At 41.7% G+C, this 20,964-nt stretch overlaps 1 protein-coding gene across 1 annotated transcript in view, besides 7 other annotated features; it reads left to right on the top strand.

The window, feature by feature from the left end:
* Positions 2,221-2,410: an enhancer, noted in NCBI's record as "active region_27881". NCBI's record gives its function as "activates an Ori minimal core promoter by ATAC-STARR-seq in GM12878 lymphoblastoid cells {active_cell/tissue: GM12878}" and the evidence as "EXISTENCE:reporter gene assay evidence [ECO:0000049][PMID:35858748]".
* Positions 2,622-2,916: an enhancer, noted in NCBI's record as "tiled region #2045; HepG2 Activating DNase matched - State 1:Tss, and K562 Activating DNase unmatched - State 1:Tss". NCBI's record gives its function as "activates a minimal TATA promoter and a strong SV40 promoter by Sharpr-MPRA in HepG2 and K562 cells {active_cell/tissue: HepG2 | K562}" and the evidence as "EXISTENCE:reporter gene assay evidence [ECO:0000049][PMID:27701403]".
* Positions 2,641-2,870: a silencer, noted in NCBI's record as "silent region_19512". NCBI's record gives its function as "represses an Ori minimal core promoter by ATAC-STARR-seq in GM12878 lymphoblastoid cells {active_cell/tissue: GM12878}" and the evidence as "EXISTENCE:reporter gene assay evidence [ECO:0000049][PMID:35858748]".
* The window catches only part of TMEM65 (transmembrane protein 65), a 66,513-nt gene continuing 48,331 nt past the window's right edge, over positions 2,783-20,964 (top strand). The window contains exon 1 of the mRNA NM_194291.3: positions 2,783-3,630. Within this exon, the coding sequence (NP_919267.2) occupies positions 3,327-3,630 (304 nt within the window). The 5' untranslated portion in view covers positions 2,783-3,326. The remainder of the gene's footprint in view (positions 3,631-20,964) is intronic.
* Positions 2,991-3,260: a silencer, noted in NCBI's record as "silent region_19511". NCBI's record gives its function as "represses an Ori minimal core promoter by ATAC-STARR-seq in GM12878 lymphoblastoid cells {active_cell/tissue: GM12878}" and the evidence as "EXISTENCE:reporter gene assay evidence [ECO:0000049][PMID:35858748]".
* Positions 3,391-3,520: a silencer, noted in NCBI's record as "silent region_19510". NCBI's record gives its function as "represses an Ori minimal core promoter by ATAC-STARR-seq in GM12878 lymphoblastoid cells {active_cell/tissue: GM12878}" and the evidence as "EXISTENCE:reporter gene assay evidence [ECO:0000049][PMID:35858748]".
* Positions 3,571-3,700: a silencer, noted in NCBI's record as "silent region_19509". NCBI's record gives its function as "represses an Ori minimal core promoter by ATAC-STARR-seq in GM12878 lymphoblastoid cells {active_cell/tissue: GM12878}" and the evidence as "EXISTENCE:reporter gene assay evidence [ECO:0000049][PMID:35858748]".
* Positions 3,711-3,760: a silencer, noted in NCBI's record as "silent region_19508". NCBI's record gives its function as "represses an Ori minimal core promoter by ATAC-STARR-seq in GM12878 lymphoblastoid cells {active_cell/tissue: GM12878}" and the evidence as "EXISTENCE:reporter gene assay evidence [ECO:0000049][PMID:35858748]".

Raw genomic sequence — 20,964 nt, 5'->3', positions numbered from 1 at the left:
TAGGTCAGAAAACGCCACAAGCCTGCTTCTTTTTAGACATTCACTCTGGGGAAAGCCAGCTGTCTGGTGAGAAGATCACCATGCTGGAGTGGCTGTGTGAAAGTGCTCTGGTTCTCAGCCCCATTTGAGCTACCAGTCAGCCATGTCAGTGAGCCATCTTAGCTATTCAGCCCAGCTGAACTTTCAAATGACAGCAGTTGTGTTGAAATCTGATTGATACTACATAAACGACTCCAATAAAATAACTGTCCAAGTAAGTTCTTCCCCAATTTCTGAGCCTCAAAATTAAGAGCAAAATAAATTGGCTAATTAAACTACTAAGTTTTGGCATAATGTGTCTACCCAAAGAGCAGCAATAATAACCAGAAGAGTTTACCAACCAACATAAAACAGAGTGAGAAGCAAGGGGAAAGAGATAGGGTAGATTAATAAGCTTAGGATAGGCTGAAGGACCATAGCACCTAAATTCTGTTTTATGCAATGTTCTCATGTCTTATCCCTCTCCACCATCCAGTCTTCTCAGCACATAGTGTGGCTACAAGGACCAGACTGGAGAGTAAGTAAGGTGACTCAACAGACTGAAGGGGCCTGGGCTCAACATATGTCTGTTCTGTTACAGAGCTGAGGGGCAAGTGTGTCTGGTTATAATGGTAGCTGGCATTAGTTGGCTTTGTAGCTGGGGGTTTATCTGCTTTTCTTGGGAAGAGATTACATGAGGCCATAATAGCGTTACAATGGGTGTTACCAGTAGGTATGCAATTTAGGGATGACATGGCTGTAAATCTGAAGATAGTATGATCTGTACCTTATTAATACTTAAAAGTCCACTTTGTCTTTCTGCCTCTATCTAAAGCAGCATTTTCATTTGTTCCATCCTTTTTATCTATGTTCAACCCATATCCATTCATTCTATGTGTAACCTTTCTCATAAGTGACTTGCTTCTACATTTTAGTTTCTCTTGTTTTATAATAGAATTAAATATTCTATAGTAATATAGCAAAAGCATTACAGCAAACCCCAATGAGCAAACATGTATCATATCACGTTTATGATGTCCTCCTATTTATTGACCAAAACAAGTCAAATAGCCAAGCCCACAGTCAATGTAGAGGTGGACCACACAACGGAGCGGATAATAGAAGGTGTAGTTCATTGGGGATCACTACTATAACAATCTAATACTAACACATAGTTAGGAGACGGTTGATCCAGGGATCGAACTTTCCACAGTCTGTCTCTGGAGGCTACACACTAAACTACTATTCTGGAGGTGGTTGGGAATGGGTTCTTACTGAAGAACTTTTTTCAAACCTCACTTCCCAGGTCTGGGGCCTGTGATCCACCCCAGTGAATCAGAATATCTTGGGGGTAGGAAATTGTGGGGGGGATGGGGTGGTACTCCCATGAGCCTGAGACTGAAATAGCTCTGCAGAGGATTCCAGTGCACACTAGGGAATGAAGGGGGTTTCAAAGACAAGGAAGATATACTTTATGCACTCAAAAAGCTTTCATTTCCACAGAGAGCATTCTTAATTGTTGTTATTACATCACAGAGGCATCACCTTGGAATTTAAAAAAGAAGCGATTCCTTTCAATGTTTAAGAGACATCAGTGTTTCTCAAGCTTTCGTGTGTGTTATTACTGGAGGGCTTGTTAAAACCCACATGACTGGGTCCAATGTCTACGTTCTGATTCAGGAGGTGTGAAGTGGGGTCCACTATTTCTCACGTCTAAAAAGCTCTGGGACACACTTTGAGAACCAGAGTTAGAGAAGTAGGAGGCTTTAGTGGTAACAATCCTCCATTATTCAGTTTAATATTCTACTTACATGTAGCACATTTACTACCTACAAGTTTCCGGGCTGAGTGCAGCACTGTTTATGATAAGGATGGGATTTAGATCTTGATTACGCTCCAGCAGATTTATTAAGTGGATTTATTCTCTAAGGGTGCCTAAGCGTCATTAGACAGGTTCAGATAAAGCAGAGATCTCCTCCCTTAGAAGAGATTAGGGACAGCTTAATGAAGTAGGAGACCTTTCACCTGGGCCTTGAAAGATGCCTAGGACCTGGATCAGGGGAAATCGTGGACAATCAAATTATTCTTCCCGCTTTAGCACAGAGACAAAAAAATCACAAGCAACCACTAGGAAAGGTCTATGACATTCTTGCCTCTGCCTCTAGCATTAACAATTTGCATGCCAGCTGCTGGAATCTGAACGGGGAGGACTGTTCTCGTGTCAAGGGCTCAGTCTCAGACCCTCCTTGGGCAGGGGTGGAACTGGCTTCGCTTTCTCTTTGGGGCGCCCAGAGCGACTGCATTAGAGCCGGCCTGCTCGGCCGAAGCGGCGGTGGGCGCTGACTTGGCGAAGGGCGCAGCTGGGGCGCTTCGTTCCGGAGCAGAGCGCCGTGATCCCGTCGGGGCTGGGGTGGCAGCGCAGCTCTCCGCCTGTCCAGAGCGGGGCCGCACGCCGGGGCACCTTTCAGAACAAGCTCCAGATGTGGCCCCAGGTTGGGGGCCGGGTGGCAGCTGTACTACCCTGGCGGGCGAGGGGTCCAGAGCTCGTTTTCCCTATTCCGATCTGTAGGTTTAACGCCAGCACAGGGTGGCGCACCCTACCTCCTTCCACCTTCACGCACCAGCGCGGGAGGGGACGCGTGTGCACGCTCCTCCCCTAGGAGGGAGGGCGGCCCGAGAGCCTGCAGACTGCGCCTGCGCAGCCTCGCTCACACACCTCCCCGCCCCCCCGCACCTCCTTCCCCTTTCGCCCCGCCCCGTTCCCACTTCTGCTGCCGCTAGGGGTAGCGGCGGCGGCGGCGGCTGCGGCTCGGGAGCGCGGCTGCTTTGAGGGCTCGGGAACCTTACAGAGTGGGGACGTGGGGAGGCTAGAGGGTGAGAAAGCTGGCGGGAGAGTAGGGCGGCGCTGGAGGAGGGCGGTGCGTGGCTGACTCATCCTCTGGAAGATCAGACTGACAGAGACACACACTAGCCCGCCCCGCCCGCCCGCGCCGCTCCTCCTCAGCCGGGAGGCGCCCGCCCGCACCGACCGCCCGCCCTCTCCGGGCGCTGTCCGGGCCCGGCCGTCTCAGAGAAAGTTTTTCCCATCGGAGGGGCGGGAGCCGCCGCGGGCCTTTTGGAAAGGAAGTGGGGACGGAACAGGAGGCGAGAGCCGCGCGGGCCCGCGGAGTGCATGGTGCCCGGCGCCTCGGCTGCCTGGCAGGAGGACCTCGGGGCGGGGTCGAGCTGAGCCCAGCTCCTTCTCGCCTCAGCCGCGCCAGAAACCGCCTTGCCGGACGGCCGCGGGGGTCCCAGCTCCTCAGCTCGCCATGTCCCGGCTGCTGCCGCTGCTGAGGAGCCGGACCGCGCGCAGCCTGAGGCCGGGCCCGGCCGCCGCCGCCGCGCCCCGCCCGCCGTCCTGGTGCTGCTGCGGGCGGGGGCTGCTGGCGCTCGCGCCCCCCGGCGGCTTGCCGGGCGGCCCCAGGCGGCTGGGCACGCACCCCAAGAAGGAGCCCATGGAGGCGCTGAACACGGCGCAGGGCGCGCGCGACTTCATCTACAGCCTGCACTCCACGGAGAGGAGCTGCCTGCTCAAAGAGCTGCACCGCTTCGAGTCTATTGCCATTGCCCAAGGTAAGGGGGGCAGGTGGGGGGCGAGCCCGGGGGCCCCGACGCCCTCCTCTTCTCGCCAGCCCACCGGGAGCCCGCTGCGGCCCTGGATCTTGGACCCCCGCCGCCGCCCCCCTTCCGCCCCCCTCGCCTGTCTGGCCCCACGCCTGGGACGGCTGGGGGCGGGGAGACTTTCCGCCGCCCGAGTTTCCCCCAGGCAGGTAGGACGGGCGCGGGTCGTGCCAGGCAGCCGAGGCCAGCGCTAGCTACTTCCTCCCCAGCCTCCGAATCCGGAGCTTCGGCCTAAAATGCCAGTTAACGCTGTTGGGATTGAGTTTTGATTTGCCCCGTGCCTCCCCTCCCCAGCCCTCCTGTCCCTTAGCCCTTGCTGCTTTCTTGCGAGCGTGCACCCGTGCAGGTGGCATGCTGTGCCTGCTCCGAGAAAGTGCTGCAAACCCGCCTGGCAGGAAGAAACTTTTTGAACGGTTATCAAATGAAGACGTATGGGTGGGTAGCCAAAAGAAGGGGTGTAGCTTCGAAAGTCAGGGATGCTCATAGCTGCTTGTTTCCACACATGTCTGATTGCGTTAATTTCAGCAGCCAAAGGAAACATTTTCTCCAGAAATGGAAAGACAGATTCAAGTTAAACTCCAGTTTTGGTTTTTCCCAGAGGTTGAAAGAATGAAATAAATAAGGAGGTATATTTTTTGGAAATCTGTGGCTCTGTAGTAAAAGTCAGACTGATGCTCAAAAGTAATTGGGAATGATGAAAGCAAAACGATTTTTAAACTAGCATGTTAAAATAGGATATTTCTAAAAGGAGTCCAGAATGGGGTAGGGCAGAATTTGAGTCTAGGTGAAAAAGCTAAAAGTTCAGAAAATAAAAAGGATGAAAGGAGCAAACGACTAAAATGGATGTCTTAAAATATTTCTGCCACTTAAATACAGTTATGTAAACAAAACACATTGCTTCAGTTTGTATTACATTCTGATGTGTTTGAAAGTTTTAAAAAAGTTTACTCTCCTCTCTAAACTTGGTAGGTACATAAACATCTCATAGATTCCAAAGTGTAGAGCACATTGATTCGGATCATGCCATTTGATTTGCCAGACTTGAAAGTATATCTTTAGCTGATGTGCAGGAATGGAGGAAAGAATTATCTACCTCATGTAAGCAGGACGTTATCTGTACTACTTCAGAAACTTGTTTTAGTTGTGGCTTTTAATCAGATGTTTTCCCCCTCAGTTCAGGAAATTGTGGACCAATTTATAGTGGATGATTGATTCCAGACATTGTTTACCCACAGTGCTTTTACAGGAAAATGTAACGTCCGATCAATTCCGTTATTCAATGTGTAATCATGATGTTATATGCAATCATAATGAAACACTAGCACATTTGTAATCTATGTGTGCACTCAGTATGCAGTTTAAAAATAGTCAATTCTGAAAATATGCTCCTTGGAAAAATAATATAGTCAGTCATGTACTAGAACATTAACTTTTGAATCTTTCTGCACTGACAAGACTATTTGAACACACATTTTACCTTTTCCAAGTAATTTCTTGGAAATTCTGCATTGTCAACAAGTTACAAGATTGGAGGGCCCTATGAATATAGTTTTGTGGCAGTTCTTGAAAAACATGTCCTGCAAGGTGACTGAATAATTTTTTTCTCATACATTATTATTTTTTACATGCCAGCAGTATTGCAGTAGCAATGCTACATTTCCTAATAAAGATAATATTTTTAAATTTAACGTGGTTTTAAATATTCTGAAAAGGACCTAAGCACTTTAGTCAATGGAGATCATTAGCATCAATTAAACTTAGTTATGTTACTAATATGAGAGAGAAATTAGTAATTTAAATTGTCTTCTTTGCTCAGGAGAAACAGTCAAGGATATTTGAAACAATGGTTAGTCAGATGCTTATCTCTCCTCTTTATATGCTAAAGAACATCAAAGTTTAAATCAGCTATTTTTGCTGATGTCGATGACAAAATGATTGTCCTATGAATCAAATGACACAGATGCTGCTGCTTTGTTAGTGTATGTAGTCTTGGTGTTCACTTACTGTTTTCAGTATCAATACATATAGTTATGGAGATAACTAGAATCATCACTTAGGAAATTACCTTATTCATTAATCATTAAGGTAAAAGGGATTTTATTATGTTGGGAATGCGTACAGCTCATTCCATTGCTGAAATCAACAATTTTTTTCCAGCCAGATAAATGAAAAACTCCCATGTTTTCTTTTATTGTTGCTTTTTGAATAATGTTTTGAAGTACTCAACCGATGTATTGTGTGTGTGTACTAAGTGTACTTTCTAACAAAATTAATTCTATTTAAAGGGCTATTTCTTGCCATAGGCAATCTTGTGTGTCTTTGGAAAGGGTGCTTGTATAAACTAATGAAGTGTTTTGGATTTGGTATGGAAATGTTACTGAAAAAATATCATCCATGCTTTGATATGGCAGTGGAATCTGCTGTTGAAATTTGGCACATTTGCCCTTATCTTTCTTATATGTTTATCAGTAGGCATGTGATATAATCTGTGATGAGATAAAGCTTTGGAATCAGTTCGTAATAGATAAGGCAGACCTTGTGGGATATCTTATCATAGTTAAATAGAATATTGTGATTTTTAAAATTACAAACCAATTTCTTTCCCAATTTAAAAAAAAGTTGAGTTTGCGCCTTCAATTTACCTGCTCAGCCTGATCTCTCTTCTTCCAGAAACAGACCATATTCTGCTGATAGAGCATTATTCATGTTTTTACAAGTAGTACTGGCAAGCTGACATTATTACAGTGGCCTTTCAATGTTAGCCAAAATTTTTAAAACAAATTTTCTTCCCAATTTTTGTAATTAATATTTCCATTTATAATTATTTTTTAAAGCTTTTAAAATATAGCAATTTGGTATTGAAAAATAGACAGTGCTCATTGTATTAGTTATCCATTGCGGTATAACAAATTATCCTAAAACACAGTGGCTTAAAACAAGCATGTATTAACTCATAATTTCTGAGGCTCAGGAATGCTATAGCATCTTAGTTGAGTATTTCTGGCCCAGGATCTTAAGAAGTTGAAATCAAGCTCTCAGCTGGGGTGGCATCATCTGAAGTCTTAACTGGGGCTGGAGGATCCATTTCCAAGAAGTCTCACTCACATGGCTGTTGGCTGGATGTCTCAATTCCCTCCCATGTGGTCCTCCACAGGGCTGCCTGAGTATTCTCATGACATGGCAGTGGGTTTCCTCTAGAGCAAGTGATGAGAGAGCGAGAGAGCAAGAGAGAGCGAGTGTGTTTGCAAGACAGCACCTGTGGGCACCTAAGCTGGAAGCCACAGACTTTTATAACACAGTCTTAGTAGTGACAGTCCATCTCTTTTGTCCTGACACATTGTGGGAGAGTACTACAGAAGGTGTGAATACAAGGGAGTGGGAATCATCGGGGGTACATCTTTGAGGCTGGCTTCCACACTTATTTAAGGTGGTGTAATTAATGCTCATCAGAGAGTTACACAGAGAGACAAGAACTGGCTATTGGAGAGGTAAAATGAGAGATATGTTTTGAAAAAAGGAGCCTCTTAGGGAATATTTTTGTTATAATATGTATACTATAAGCCACAGACTTTTAAAACGCAGTCTTCGAAGTGACAGTCCATCTCTTTTGTCCTGACACATTGTGGGAGAGTACTACACAAGGTGTGAATACAAGGGAGTGGGAATCATCGGGGGTACATCTTTGAGGTTGGCTTCCACATTATTTAAGGTGGTGTAATTAATGCTCATCAGAGAGTTTACACAGAGAGACAAGAACTGGCTATTGGAGAGGTACAATGAGAGATATGTTTTGAAAAAGGGAGCCTCTTAGGGAATATTTTTGTTATAATATGTATACTTAAGATATTTAAAAAATGAGATTGTTTTTACATATAGCAAATAAAAGATGTATTGAGGTGAACAGAGCAGTTTTTCTATCAATGTTAGGTCTCAATTAGCTTGCATTTTTTGATTACTCTATGTGAGTGGTAATTGTGTGCTTTTGACATTTTTTACCATTTATCTACGTCTGTATACATTAACCAAATAATTCTAAACTTTAATCTTGTAGTCCCCCATTTTTTGTGATTGTTTAAGGTAGGGTGAAGAGCTTTGTTTTGAGAACTTGCCATATAGTATAAGAGGACGTTGACAAAATGAAAGACTGAAAGATAAAGAGCTTATACTAAATTGAGTATCTAAAACACTTAAAAATAAATTAGGCTTTCTTATGGAATCCCTGTTCACTAGAGATCTTGGACCTTTAACAAGATTATCCTTATTTTTTTTCAGCCCATTGCTCAGGATTATGTGAGAAAATAGAAATTCTTTTCTTAAATTTTTTTTATTTTTTGAGACAGAGTCTCACTCTGTTGCCCAGGGTGGAGTGCAGTGGTGCGATCTCAGCTCAGTGCAACTCCATCTCCCAGGTTCAAGCGATTCTCCTGCCTCAGCCTCCTGAGAAGCTGGGATTACAGACATGCACCACTGTGATTGGCTAAGTTTTGTATTTTTAGTAGAGGTGGGGTTTCACCATGTTGGCCAGGTTCATCTCGAACTCCTGACCTCAGGTGATCCACCGAGCTTAGCCTTCCAAAGTGCCGGGATTACAGCTGTGAGCACCGTGCCTAGCCTAAATATAAATTATTTTAAGCTATGAGCCTCTGGAATGGATTGGGAATAGTTTGCTTTTGTCCAATAAGAAAAAGGGCAAGAAAAACATTTTATACTGCAAATAAAGATACGTGAATAAAGATATTTCAGTGCCTTTGTTGAGATAGTAAAAAGGAATAAGGGAAGTATAGCCCCACCTAGGCCCGGCAAGAGGGGAAGAACAAGGACGTGGATAAGAAGTATGAATTGAGGCAAGAGGAGTGAGAGATCTCTGATGAGCCATGGGCTTCTATAAGTTGAGTTACACTCAGTTAAATGAAGCTTTGCTACAATCAGTTATTTTACCAATATGGAAAGAACCTAATTACAGTAGTATATTTCAGCAAGCTTAATTCTGAGTTCTTTAGAGTTACGGGGTATGTTGGAATGGTCTTATTACTAGGGATTACTGCCAGTAGAAGACAGATAATCAAGTAATCAAGTAAAGTTTTTTTTTTTCCATTATGAAAGGCATATATGCTGTTTAACAGTGTTTAATCATCACTTACATATAACATGTCCAGAGTTACGTGTGACTTCAAATAACAACCCTTCTATCATAGCTCATGATTTTGTGGATCAAGAATATAGGCAGTTGCAGGTACAGAGTTCATAGGAAATAAAAAAATAAAATTGAAAAAAAAAGGATATAGGCAGGGCTCAGCTGGATGCTGTTTCTTATGGTATCTATGGAGGTCATTACATAAACTTTGGCTGGCTGATGGTCTGGTCAGAAGGTCCAACATCGGTTTGTTTATGTGTCTGGTACTTTGGTGGATGGCTGGAGGGCTGGCCTCAACTGGAACTGTTGACCCAAGGAGATGGATGTGGCCTCACCAGCATGACAATGTTAGCATGGTTGTAATACTTAGGTCAGGGATCCCAGAGAAAATGTTCCAAGGGGGCTGGGTAGAAGCTGTAAGACTTTGTATTAGTTTTCTTTCTCTTTTTTGAGACGGAGTCTCGTGCTGTCACTCAGTCTGGAGTGCAGTGGTGTGATCTTGGCTCACTGCAACCTCTGCCTCCCGGGTTCAAGCGATTCTCCTGCTTCAGCCTCCCTGAGTAGCTGAGACTACAGGCACACACCACCACACTTGGCTAATTTTTGTATTTTTAGTAGAGGTGGGGTTTTGCCAGGTTGGCCAGGCTGGTCTGGAACTCCTGACCTCAAGCAATCCTCCTGCCTCGGCCTCCCAAAGTGCTGAGATTACAGGCGTGAACCTCCACGCCCGGCCTGTATTAGTTTTCTATTGCTGCTGTAACACCACAAATACAGTGGCATAAAACAACATATTCTCTTAGAGTTGTCAAAGTACAAAGTCCAAAATAAGTCTTAAAGGACTAAAATCAAAGTGTCAGCAAGGCTCTGTCCTTCTAGAGAGTCCAGGGCAGAATGTATTCTTTGCTTCTTTCATCTTTTGGGATTCCTTGGTTCCTGGACACATCACTAAAATCTCTGCTCCCTCATTGACCTTTTTGCCTCCCTATTATAAGAACCCTCATGATTATATTTAGGTTTTACCTGGATAATCCAGGATAATCTCACTCTCTCAAAATCCTTAATTTAATTACACTTGCAAAATTCTTTTTGCCATATAATGTAACATATATACAGGTTAGGGAATTAGAATGTGGGATATCTTTGGGGGCCATTATTCATCCTACCACAGACTTGTTATGACCTAGCTTTTGAAGTTCCAGAACATTATTTCTGCTGCATGTAATGGTCAAGCAAGTCACTAAAACCAGTTCAGATTCAAGGGAAGGGAAATTAAAAGGAGGACAGAAAGGTGATTCCTTATCAGACTCTTCACCTCTCTATTAAATAAACTTTTGGGTAATTGTTTTCCTTGATTGTGTTGTCTCTTCACTTCTAAATTCTTGACTAAATTGTAAATATTAGAAATTTGGGAAATATGGCTTCCAGGTAAGTCAAACACTTATATGTATAGTTTAATTTATCAGTAATTAATTTGCTGTTTTTCACCTTAATAGTCATTTATTGCCTATTTTTTATTTGTGACAAATTGTTATGATCAAATTTGTGGATAGGAAAATTGAAGTAATATAAAGTCAGCAATTTATAGGGTCATCCAGAGGGTCAGGTGGAACTACAGATCACGATCTTGAAAGTTTGAGATGATGTGATATTTTGCCATTATTAGTGGAGATTGTTTTCATTTTTCTAAAAATAGTGATGAGTTTGCATAACCACACTCTTGTCTGGTTTCCTTTGGTGTGTCTGGGTATAAAATAACTTGAACAAATAGGGACTAAATCCTTGAGTGTAGATTTTATTAGCATCTTGCCCAAGTCATCTGAATTAGTTAGTATGTAGCTTTACAGGACTGTAGCCTTGTCTTTGACTCACAGGTTTATGTCTGCTTTAAGTAAAGGAAAACACATAAAAACAAGTAGTTATATATTAAAATTACCTCAGACAGACAATAAGAGGTAAGAGTAAATAAGAGGTTCTTGTAGATAAAAGACTGTAGGTAACAAAATCATTTCTCCTAAGCTCTGAGACATTTACTTTGATTGCTTTTGATGATAAAATATTTGAACATATTGCATTTTTTATCTGCCTTAGTAAAAATATAATGAGCATAATTTAGCTTCTACCAGATGTCGGAGTCCTTATATACTATATTTTAATACAATAAGTTTCTTTGAGGTTACTTCTATTTGTAGACATGCTAATCATTACACCAAATGCCTCCAGAACACTGCTGTTTCAGTTGGCATGCTTTTTAGACTCTGTCATAGTGGTAGTGAAATGTGCTGGGCTTAGTCTGCCCCTCCCTCCTCCTCAGTGCTCTCAGACTTTTCTACTCTATTCTCATTCATTCCTTGTAGTTATGGTAAACTCTTTTCTGCTGTGTAAGGAGGTCTGCTTCATGACATCCTGTTATTGTTTCTAAAGTCTGATTTTACTTCTGCCAATTGTCACTCTTCCATTGTGTTTAATTTTCTTCTTTTTCCTGTCTTTTTACTTCCTCCCTTTGCTTTTCAGCAGGGTTTAATCTTGATAGACATTTCAAGGATCACTGTTCTCTTTTGTGTTTTCAGCTAACTAGTTGCATCTATCACATTATTATTGATTTTTGACTCTAGCTCTTGTACTAAAGATCTTTCTTTGATAATATCCCTCATAATAGGTTTTATAGTAGATTCTACTGCAAAGGCTATGGTTGCACAACAAAATCCTTTACATTCTCTTACTAAAGTTGTACTAGATAATAGAATTGCTCTAGATTACCTACTGGCTAAGTGGGGAAGAATCTGTGCAGTTGTTGATACTTCTTGTTTTTTTTTTTTTTTTTTTTTTTTTTTTTTTGAGACGGAGTCTCGCTCTGTCGCCCTGGCTGGAGTGCAGTGGCGGGATCTCGGCTCACTGCAAGCTCCGCCTCCCGGGTTCACACCATTCTCCTGCCTCAGCCTCCCAAGTAGCTGGGACTACAGGCGCCCGCCACTACGCCCGGCTAATTTTTTGTATTTTTAGTAGAGACGGGGTTTCACCGTTTTAGCTGGGATGGTCTCGATCTCCTGACCTCGTGATCCGCCCGCCTCGGCCTCCCAAAGTGCTGGGATTACAGGCGCTTCTTGTTTTACATGGATGTCTACATCAGGTATTATGGAGATTCAGTTGTAGGGGATTAATGAACAGGCTGCTTGGTTGAAAATGCATCAGAATTAAGCAGTTAACTGTGGAAATGACTTAAAATGGTCATGGTTAAAGACACAATTGACAAGAAAATTTGGTTATTTCTGTGGCCTACAATAATTAATTTAAAATAATCACCATAATTAGGACTGATAACATACCAAGACACACCAGAATTTTAGGAGGCTTATACAATTTTGGACTATATATTAGTAACATATCCATAAACTATAACTCAAAGAAGATTAAACATCATTTCTTATTTGACAATGCTTCCCATGTAATTTAACTTACCAGATAAGCTTGTTTCTTATCTCTCTCTTGGATGCTGCAAGGACCCTCTGTGTAACGTCTCAAAGTTAGTTTGAGGTCAAAAGACTAAACTTTCAATTTGAAATTTGATTTTGGAAGTGCATCAAATTTGTCAAAGATTTAACGCACTTAATCAAAATAGGATCAAAGATCACTGTAAAATAATTGTCATACCTTTAGCCAAAGTGGTAATTAAAAGGTTTTTAAAAGCAAAACCATTTATTCTTCGATAGAGGATTGACTCTATTTTCCACACAATCAGAAATCCTAATAGATAGCATGAGATGGAATCTGTCTCTCCTCTCCCCTCTTTCTTTTTTTGCAGTTTACTTAAAAGGTAAACAAACACATTTACTCTTTCTTTCTTCTTAATACTACACAAAATTCTTGTTCAAAAGAGAAAACCAAATTTTACTTTTGTATTAGTATATTACCAATACTAAAACTACAGCTAATTTTATTAAAAGCTTATAAACAAATTGGATTTTCATAAACCTTTTATAATCTCTTAGCATTTTTTCTATTTTTTTTTTTTGAGACAAGAGTCTTGCTCTATCACCAAGGCTGGAGTGCAATAGCATGATCTTGGCTCACTGCAACCTCCACCTCCTGGGCTCAAGCGATTCTCATGACTAAGCCTCCTGAGTAGCTGGTACTACAGGCGTACACCACCATGCCTGGCTGATTTTTGTATTTTTAGTAGAGACAGGGTTTCGCTATGTTGGCCAGGCTTGTGTTGAACTCCTGACCTCAAGTGAACCACCAGTCTCTGCCTCCCAAAGTTGTGGGATTACAGGCATGAGCCACTGCGACCAGCCAATTTTTTCTATTCTCTTTCTTTTTCCACCTTGCTATATTAATTTAGTTTTATCTGTATCTTTTAAAAAATTCCTTCATTTTGAAACAACCTTCAAATATCTTCTAAACTAGATAGATGAAATTATTTTTTCTCAGCAAATACACATTTTCATGCTTTTTACAACTTTCCTTATCAAAAACATATCTTGGCCTGGCACAGTGGCTCATGCCTGTAATCCCAGCACTTTGGGAGGCCGAGGCGGGTGGATCACCTGAGGTCAGGAGTTTAAGACCAGCCTGGTCAACATGGTGAAACCCCGAATCTACTAAAAGTACAAAAAATTAGCTGAGCGTGGTGACGGGTGCCTGTAATCCTAGCTGCTTGGGAAGCTGAGGCAGGAGAAGTGCTTGAACCCAGGAGGCAGAGGTTGCAGTGAGCCGAGATCCTGTCGTTGCACTCCAGCCTGGGCTATAAGAGCGAAACTCCATCTCAAAAAACCCTCCAAAAAACCGACAAAAAAAATCTTGCTTTTTAAAAATTATTTATTTATTTTTTATTTTTTTGAGATGGAGTTTTGCTCTGTTGCCCAGGCTGCAGTGCAGTGGCGCAATCTCCGCTCACTGCAACCTCTGCCTCCCGGGTTCAAGCAATTCTCCTGCCTCAGCCTGCTGAGTAGCTGGGATTACAGGTGCATGCCACCATTCCCGGCTAATTTTTGTATTTTTTAAATAGAGACGGGGTTTTCACCTTGTTGGCCAGACTGGTCTCGAACTCCTGACCTCAAGTGATTCACCCGCCTCTGCTCCCAAAGTGCTGGGATCACAGGTGTGAGCCACCGTGCCCGGCCCAAAATCTTGCTTTTTTTTAAACACTCTGTATACAGACTTGTTTCCTCTTATATCTAGTAGTTTTAATTATATATATTAACTTATTAACTACAGGATTTTTTTTTTTTTTTTTCGTGAGACAGAGTTTCGCTCTTGTTGCCTAGGCTGGAGTGCAATGGCGCAGTCTCGGCTCACCGCAACCTCTGCCTCCCTGGTTCAAGCCATTCTCCTGCCTCAGCCTCTGGAGTAGCTGGGATTACAGGCGCCCACCACTACGCCCAGCTTATTTTTTGTATTTTTAGTAGAGACAGGGTCTCGCCATGTTGGCCAGGCTGGTCTTGAACTCCTGACCTTGAGTGACCTACCCGCCTCGGCCTCCCAAAGTGCTGGGACTACAGGTGTGAGCCACTGTGCCCGGCCTACAGTTTTAACTCTTAGTAGCCTTAATGTCTAGCGAAAACCTGTGAAGTTGTCTTGAACTGTTTTGTATCAGTATTTGTAAATGAAAACCATTTTGCATTTTTTTAGAAAGATGTTTTCTCAATTTTTTTGTTTATTAACAGATCTAAGTATACTTAACCTTTCTGTGCCATATGAATGAATTATATATAACTGACAATTCAGAAGCCAGTCCTATTTAATTTTACTAACAATTTAAAAACTAGTTTTATTTATCAAATATTAACACATAGACACACAGAAGCAGATCTTACAGCTTTCATAAATAATTTTCATTTGCTGGCTTTTAAATAATTTTTTTTCCCCATTCTACTACCAATCTTCCAATTATCTGTTTCATTGCCCTAAGCAATTGTTAGCTGGGCAACCCTAAATTTGCATTTTCAAAGGGATGGCTCTTAGATGAAACGAGGTAGAAAATTTATATCTCCAAAGCACAGAGCTGAGATTTCAGGCCTAAATAATTAATTGTATAATCATTTGCCCAAACCAAGGAAGAAGGTTGTTGGTAAAGGCCCAGCTAAGGCAAGAGAGCCAGGAAAAGCACCTTAAACAAAGGTTAGATTTGTTTTGTGAATTCAAACCAATGGTAAGAGTTTCTAGTGACTCAGTTCTCCCTCTCTTCCTGGTGCACAGAGGCAGACACCCTTACAAATGGAGATTTTTTTTTTTTTTTTTTTTTTGTGACAGAGTCTCCCTCTGTCACCTAGGCTGGAGTGCAGTGGTGAGATTTAGGCTCACTGCAACCTCTGCCTTCTGGGTTCAAGCGACTCTCCTGCCTCAGCATCCTGAGTAGCTGGGGCTGCAGGCGCGCGCCACCATGCCCGGCTAATTTTTTGCATTTTTAGTAGAGACTGAGTTTCACCATGTTAGCCAGGATGGTCTTGATCTCCTGACCTCGTGATCTGCCTGCCTCGACCTCCCAAAGTGCTGGGATTACAGGCGTGTGCCACTGTGCCTGGCCGAGATTTTTTTTTATAGATGTAAATTTCTTTTTCAGAAGAGTTTCAAAATAGCCAGCTACATGCCAGAAAGGTATGTCTTGAAGACTTATTTAGTTGAATAGGCAGTCTTTTTAACTTAGCTACTGTTTCCTAGCTGAAATTATTGAGTTTAGGGTGAAGGCCATTAAGGAAAAGGGCAAAGAAAGCGTTCTCTGCGCCTAGACTCAATATGATAGCTCTGAAAAAGAAGCAAGGCTACTTTACCTGAGGTCCTAACTTTTATAAACACTTTATCTAGGATAGCTTTCTTTTAGCCTTTAGTGTGGTATAATTACTAAGCCAAAAGGTTAGCAGATTTAATTTTCGTTATCAATTAGTTGTTTAAGCTTTTTATTTGCCCTTTATAGTCTTTTTCCTTTTTTTTTTTGAAACAGAGTCTTGCTCTGTTGTCCAGACTGTAGTGCAGTGGTGTGATCTCAGCTCGCTGCAGCTTCTGCCTCCCAGGTTCAAGCCTCCCTTGTGCTTCAGCCTTTTGAGTAGCTGGGATCACAGGCGTGTACTACCATGCCTAGCTAATTTTTATATTTTTAGTATAGATGAGGGTTCACCATGTTGGCCAGGCTGGTCTTGAATTCCTGGCTTCAAGGGATCTGCCTGCCATGGTCTCCCAATGTGCTGGCATTACAGGCATGATCTTACAGTCTTTAAAAAGAGGCAGTAAAAATGTTGAAATCTTTTTTAGAAACTTCTGCACATCAATAGACATCGTTGGATGAGACTAATTGAGGATTCCTCACTTTCAAATGTACTGAATTACCTTTAGTAAGATTTTGCTATCTCTTTAAGTGTTTGCTGCTTCCAGGGCTTAATATTTATACATGTATAGGTAGGCATAGCCGGAAGGTGGAGTACTCAGTTCTTCAGAAATTAAGGATCTCATCTATTTGGCTTTGGCTCTTGGATCACCTTGATCAATTTAAACAGTGATTTTTCCCTACGTAAGGGTGAAAGAAAAAGAAACAAATGGGGTAGAACACAAAAATTCCTCTGAATTTCCAAAAGCCAAAGCTTGCATCCCCGGCAGTGTTGCCATTTACTACCAGTTTCTGTCTGACCCAGTCAGACATCTGAGGCCTCTAACTGGATCCAGGCCAGTTAATGATTAGATCCAATTCTGTCCTGGACCCAGTCCAGTTTCTGTCACAACTTCCAAATTCAGTTCAGATAAAAAAAATTGCTCAAACTCAGATAGCTCAAAACATACATCCATGGAGCTTTGGAATCCTAGAGAGAAGCACCCCATTTGCTGCGAGAGAGCAGTAGACACAATGGATCCTGTGGGTACCTCACTTGGCCGCTTGTTTCTGGGGGTTGCTGGGAGCTCGACTTTGGATCGCACTTCTGACACCATCTGTTAAGGGAAAACTTGAGACAAATTTAACAGAGTTTATTTGAGCAAAGAATGATTTAAGAGTTGGGCAGCCCCTGAACCAGAATAGATTCAGAGCCACTCTGGTGTTGTTGCATGGTCAGAGAGGATTTATGGATGGAAAAAGGAAAGTGACTTATGGAAAATGGAAGTGAGGTGCAGAAGCAGGCAGATTGGTTGCACCTTGACATATGCCTTATTTGAATGTGGTTTGAACAGTTTGCTACCTATGAATGCATTGGAGTATGGCTGCTGTGATTGGCTGAGACTCGGCTATTTGTTAGAAGAGTAGATTATGACCTGTTTACATACCTGCTTGGGTTATAGTTCATTATGTATATGGAGAAACCTTCAGGCTTAAAATATGTAAGGAGGCAGCATTAGGCTAAACTTAATTTAAAAACACCATGTTCACTACCATTACTTACCAATTATTGAATACTTGTTGTGTGCCAGACATAATGAGCTGAGTTTTTATGTGATTATTTTGTTTACTTCTCTTGGAGGGAGAAGGAATTATCTCTATTTTATAGATTAATATACTGATGCGAAGATTAGCTTGCCCCAAATCCTTCAACCAGTGTGTCAGAGTAGAGTCAATAACAGCTTTGGCTGGGCACAGTGGCTCATGCCTGTAATCCCAGCATTTTGGGAGGCCAAGGTGGATGGATCACCTGAAGTCAGGAGTTTGAGACCAGCCTGGCTAACATGGCGAAACCGTGTCTCTACTGAAAATACAAAAACTAGCTGGGCGTGGTGGCAGGTGCCTGTAATCCAAGCTACTCAGGAGGCTGAGGCAGGAGAATCATTTGAACCTGGGAGGCGGAGGTTGCAGTGAGCTGAGATCATGCCATTGCACTCCAGCCTAGCAATAAGGGTGAAACTCCATCTCAAAAAAAAAAAAAAAAAAGATAAAAAAGTAAAAATATATATAAAAAAAAAGGTTTGTCTGACTCCAACCTCTCTTCCTACTTACTACTTACTGCCCCTCTCTGGATACTTATATCCAGGATTTTAAACACATGGGGAAAATAACACCTCATGGTCAATAAAAGTTTAATTTTTAAACTAACTGGATGTACTGGTAACATATCTTAGTCTCCTGTATCTCCTGTGTGTTTGCATAATATGCACCATTCAATACAAAAGCAAATATGGTATTCTTACTTTGAAAATAAGGGGAATCAATGTGCAAAAAAGTTAATATATAGTGTGAAAAGTTTGGAAAAGTCAGAAAGCTAGTATTTAGGATTTGTAACTCATAAATCTCTAACCTTTAGTTTTCCTTTAGATTTTGGAAGATTTTTTATATTTGTTTTCAAAATGAATTCCTAACTCGAATGACTTTTTAAAACGAAATCTAACATTTAACCTATAGGAAAGCTCTCCAGACTTTGAGTTCATTTTCAGCTTTACTGGGTATTGTGAGATAACTATATAAAGATATTTAGTAATTAATTGTATATATCAACTCTGGAGCTCCAGAGTAAGAGTCAAGTTTGGGACTTCTACCCATATAGGTAGTAACTAGGGCTAGGCAGTATAAATAGAGTGATAGGAGAAGATCCCAGGAGAAAATGCTGAAAAACACCAGTGTTTATTGGAAGAGAACAGGAAGAAGAACAAGAACTAGAAAGAGAGAGAGGAGTAATGTCCAGAGAGACAGGAAAAAAAAAAAAAAGATATCCTAGAAGCTAAGGGTGGAAGAGGCATTTCAAGAAAGAGGGAATAAGACCAGGAACGGTGGCTCACACCTGTAATCCCATCACTTTGGGAGGACGAGTTGGGAGGATTGTTTGAGTTCAGGAGTTTGAGACCAGCCTGGACAACATGGTAAAACCCCGTCTCTACTAAAAATACAAAAATTAGCTGGGTGTGATGGTGCAAGCCTATGGTCCCAGCTACTTGGGAGGCTGAGGTGGGAAGAACACTATAGCCTGGGAAGCAGAGGTTGCAGTGAGCTGAGATCACGCCATTACACTCCAGCCTGTGTGACAGAATGAGACACTGTCTCAAAAAAATAAAAATAAAAAAAGAGTGATCTGATGCTTTAGATAGGTCAAGTAAGAGGAATATTGGGGCTGAGGTGTGTGTGGGGTCCATTAGATTTAATAACGTGAAAGAGATTGATGTCTTTGTCAGAGCAGTTTTAATGATAGCTATGTGAGGAGAAGCCAGATTTTAGTTGGCTGAGAAGGGAGTATCAATAAGGAAGGATTCAACTTTCTGAAGGAAACTTTGGATGTGGAAGGGAGATGTTGGGCAATAGCTTGATTTTATCTGAGGTCATCTCTTTACTCATAAGTCAGAAATGTGAATTTACTTTAAGTATATGTTACTGGTGTAGAGAGAAAAGGAAAACTCCTTTGCCCTCTGAAGATTCACTGACAGAAGGCAGATTAATAAGAGAAATGGCCTACAAATTTATTGGCATGCATGGGGGAAAATCACAGAGTGATTACCCGCTATCCTAATGGGGCCCACATACTTATATAGCCTTCCTTATTTAAGAAGGGAGGGGAGAGATGGGTAAAACAGGTATGTATTAGGCCATTCTTATGCTGTTATAAAGAAATAACCTGAGACTGGGTAATTTATTAAAAAAAGGTTTAATTGGTTCACCGCTCAGATTAAGGATTGACTCGTAGAGATTGGGAGAAGGATCCAGGTAGAGTTTCATGTTCTTCCTACAATACTGCTATTCCCCTCCTTCAGGTTTCTACTACAATGGGCACTTTCTTAGGGCTTTCTTGTCTTTTTTGTGTGTATCTGGTGTGATTTCTAGCAACAGAACCTGCAAGAAGGTGTGGACTCCCCCAGTTTATGCATACCCTAGTAGCTTCATACTGCCTCAAAATCTCCCACTCTGCCTTCACCTGTTCACCTACTATTTAGCTGTACCCTCTTATGGTGTCCAGTTGCAGCTATCCTAAGTAAGCAAGTACTAAGATCCTGTCTGTCCTTGCAGGTGCCTGCCCCTCTTTTGATTTAGGGCCAGTTGATTGCTCTGTGACTTCAGTTCTCTTATGGTTTAGAAATAAGCCATCAATTTGAATTGAATTTGACTGTGTTTCATTATAAAGGTGGGATGAAGCCCCTATGTTATATCACACAGTGAAAACTAGACCCCTGCTTCCCAAATTTTAATTTGCATACATCATCTGGGAATCTTATTGAAATGCAAATTGTGTTTCATTAGGTTTGAAGTGGGGCCTGAGATTCTGCATTTCTAACACATTCCCAGGGATTTCAGTGCTACAGGTCCAGGGACCATATTTTGAATAGCAAGGTTACAGAAAGTATTTTTGTTTTTAAGATAGGAAAGAGTTGAAGACATGTAGATAGTAGCTTCAGGCATGCTTGAATTGTGAAAGAAAATAGGCAAATGTGATAATGATAATATAAGATGTGGTACATTTTGTGAACTGGCTGAATTTTATGTGCATGAGAAAGATCTTCTGGTTTAAAAAACGTCCTAGAATTTTTTTTTTTTCTGCTCAAAGGGACTTCTTAATGACAATTTGAAAAAAGGTGAATTGTTAACCCTGATTTTGTAGCTATGCAACAATCACATTTGAGAAATAAATGCCGTGTAAGAGATGTGTTCTTTTTGCCTATCTTCTTTTACTTCCCATTATTACCTGGAATACACTGTCCATTGGTTAGTCTAATTTCTTTATTGAACTGTGACCTCCATCATACTTTTTTCTTTTCTGCTTTTCTTCATGTTGTTCTCCTGTGTTTTTCCCACCGAATTTTTTTATTCCTTTTTACATTTTGAAACAGTCTTAAATTTACAGAAGAGTTTCAAGTATGGCACAACAAACTTTTTTTCTCCTCTCCTAAATCATTGGATAATAAGTTTCTGATATGATGCCCTATCATTCCTCTCACAGATTGAGTTCCTTGGCAAGCAGTTTCTGAGACAAAGGTTAACATGCAAGTAGTTGATTGAGTAGTGTGCTGGTGAAATTCTCACCTTGGGAAGGGAAGGGAAAGAAGCAGGCTTGGGCAGAGGTAGAAGTAAAGGTGTAATATAGTTTCAGTGGAAGCCTCAGCTAACACCGTAGGGAGTTTTGGAGATGGGATGACACTTTTGTGTTGTCTGGAGTTGGGCAAAAGGGTTGGGCCTCTGCTTCTGTGAAAACAAGCTATTAGATGTGGAGTGCCCTGGGCAGGGTGCAGATCCCTGAGCGAGGCAGCATTCTTCAGCTGTGTCG

This window comes from Homo sapiens, chromosome 8 (genome assembly GCF_000001405.40).
Source record: "Homo sapiens chromosome 8, GRCh38.p14 Primary Assembly".
Lineage (NCBI taxonomy): Eukaryota > Metazoa > Chordata > Mammalia > Primates > Hominidae > Homo > Homo sapiens.
This window is presented reverse-complemented; position numbering and strand designations above follow the sequence as displayed.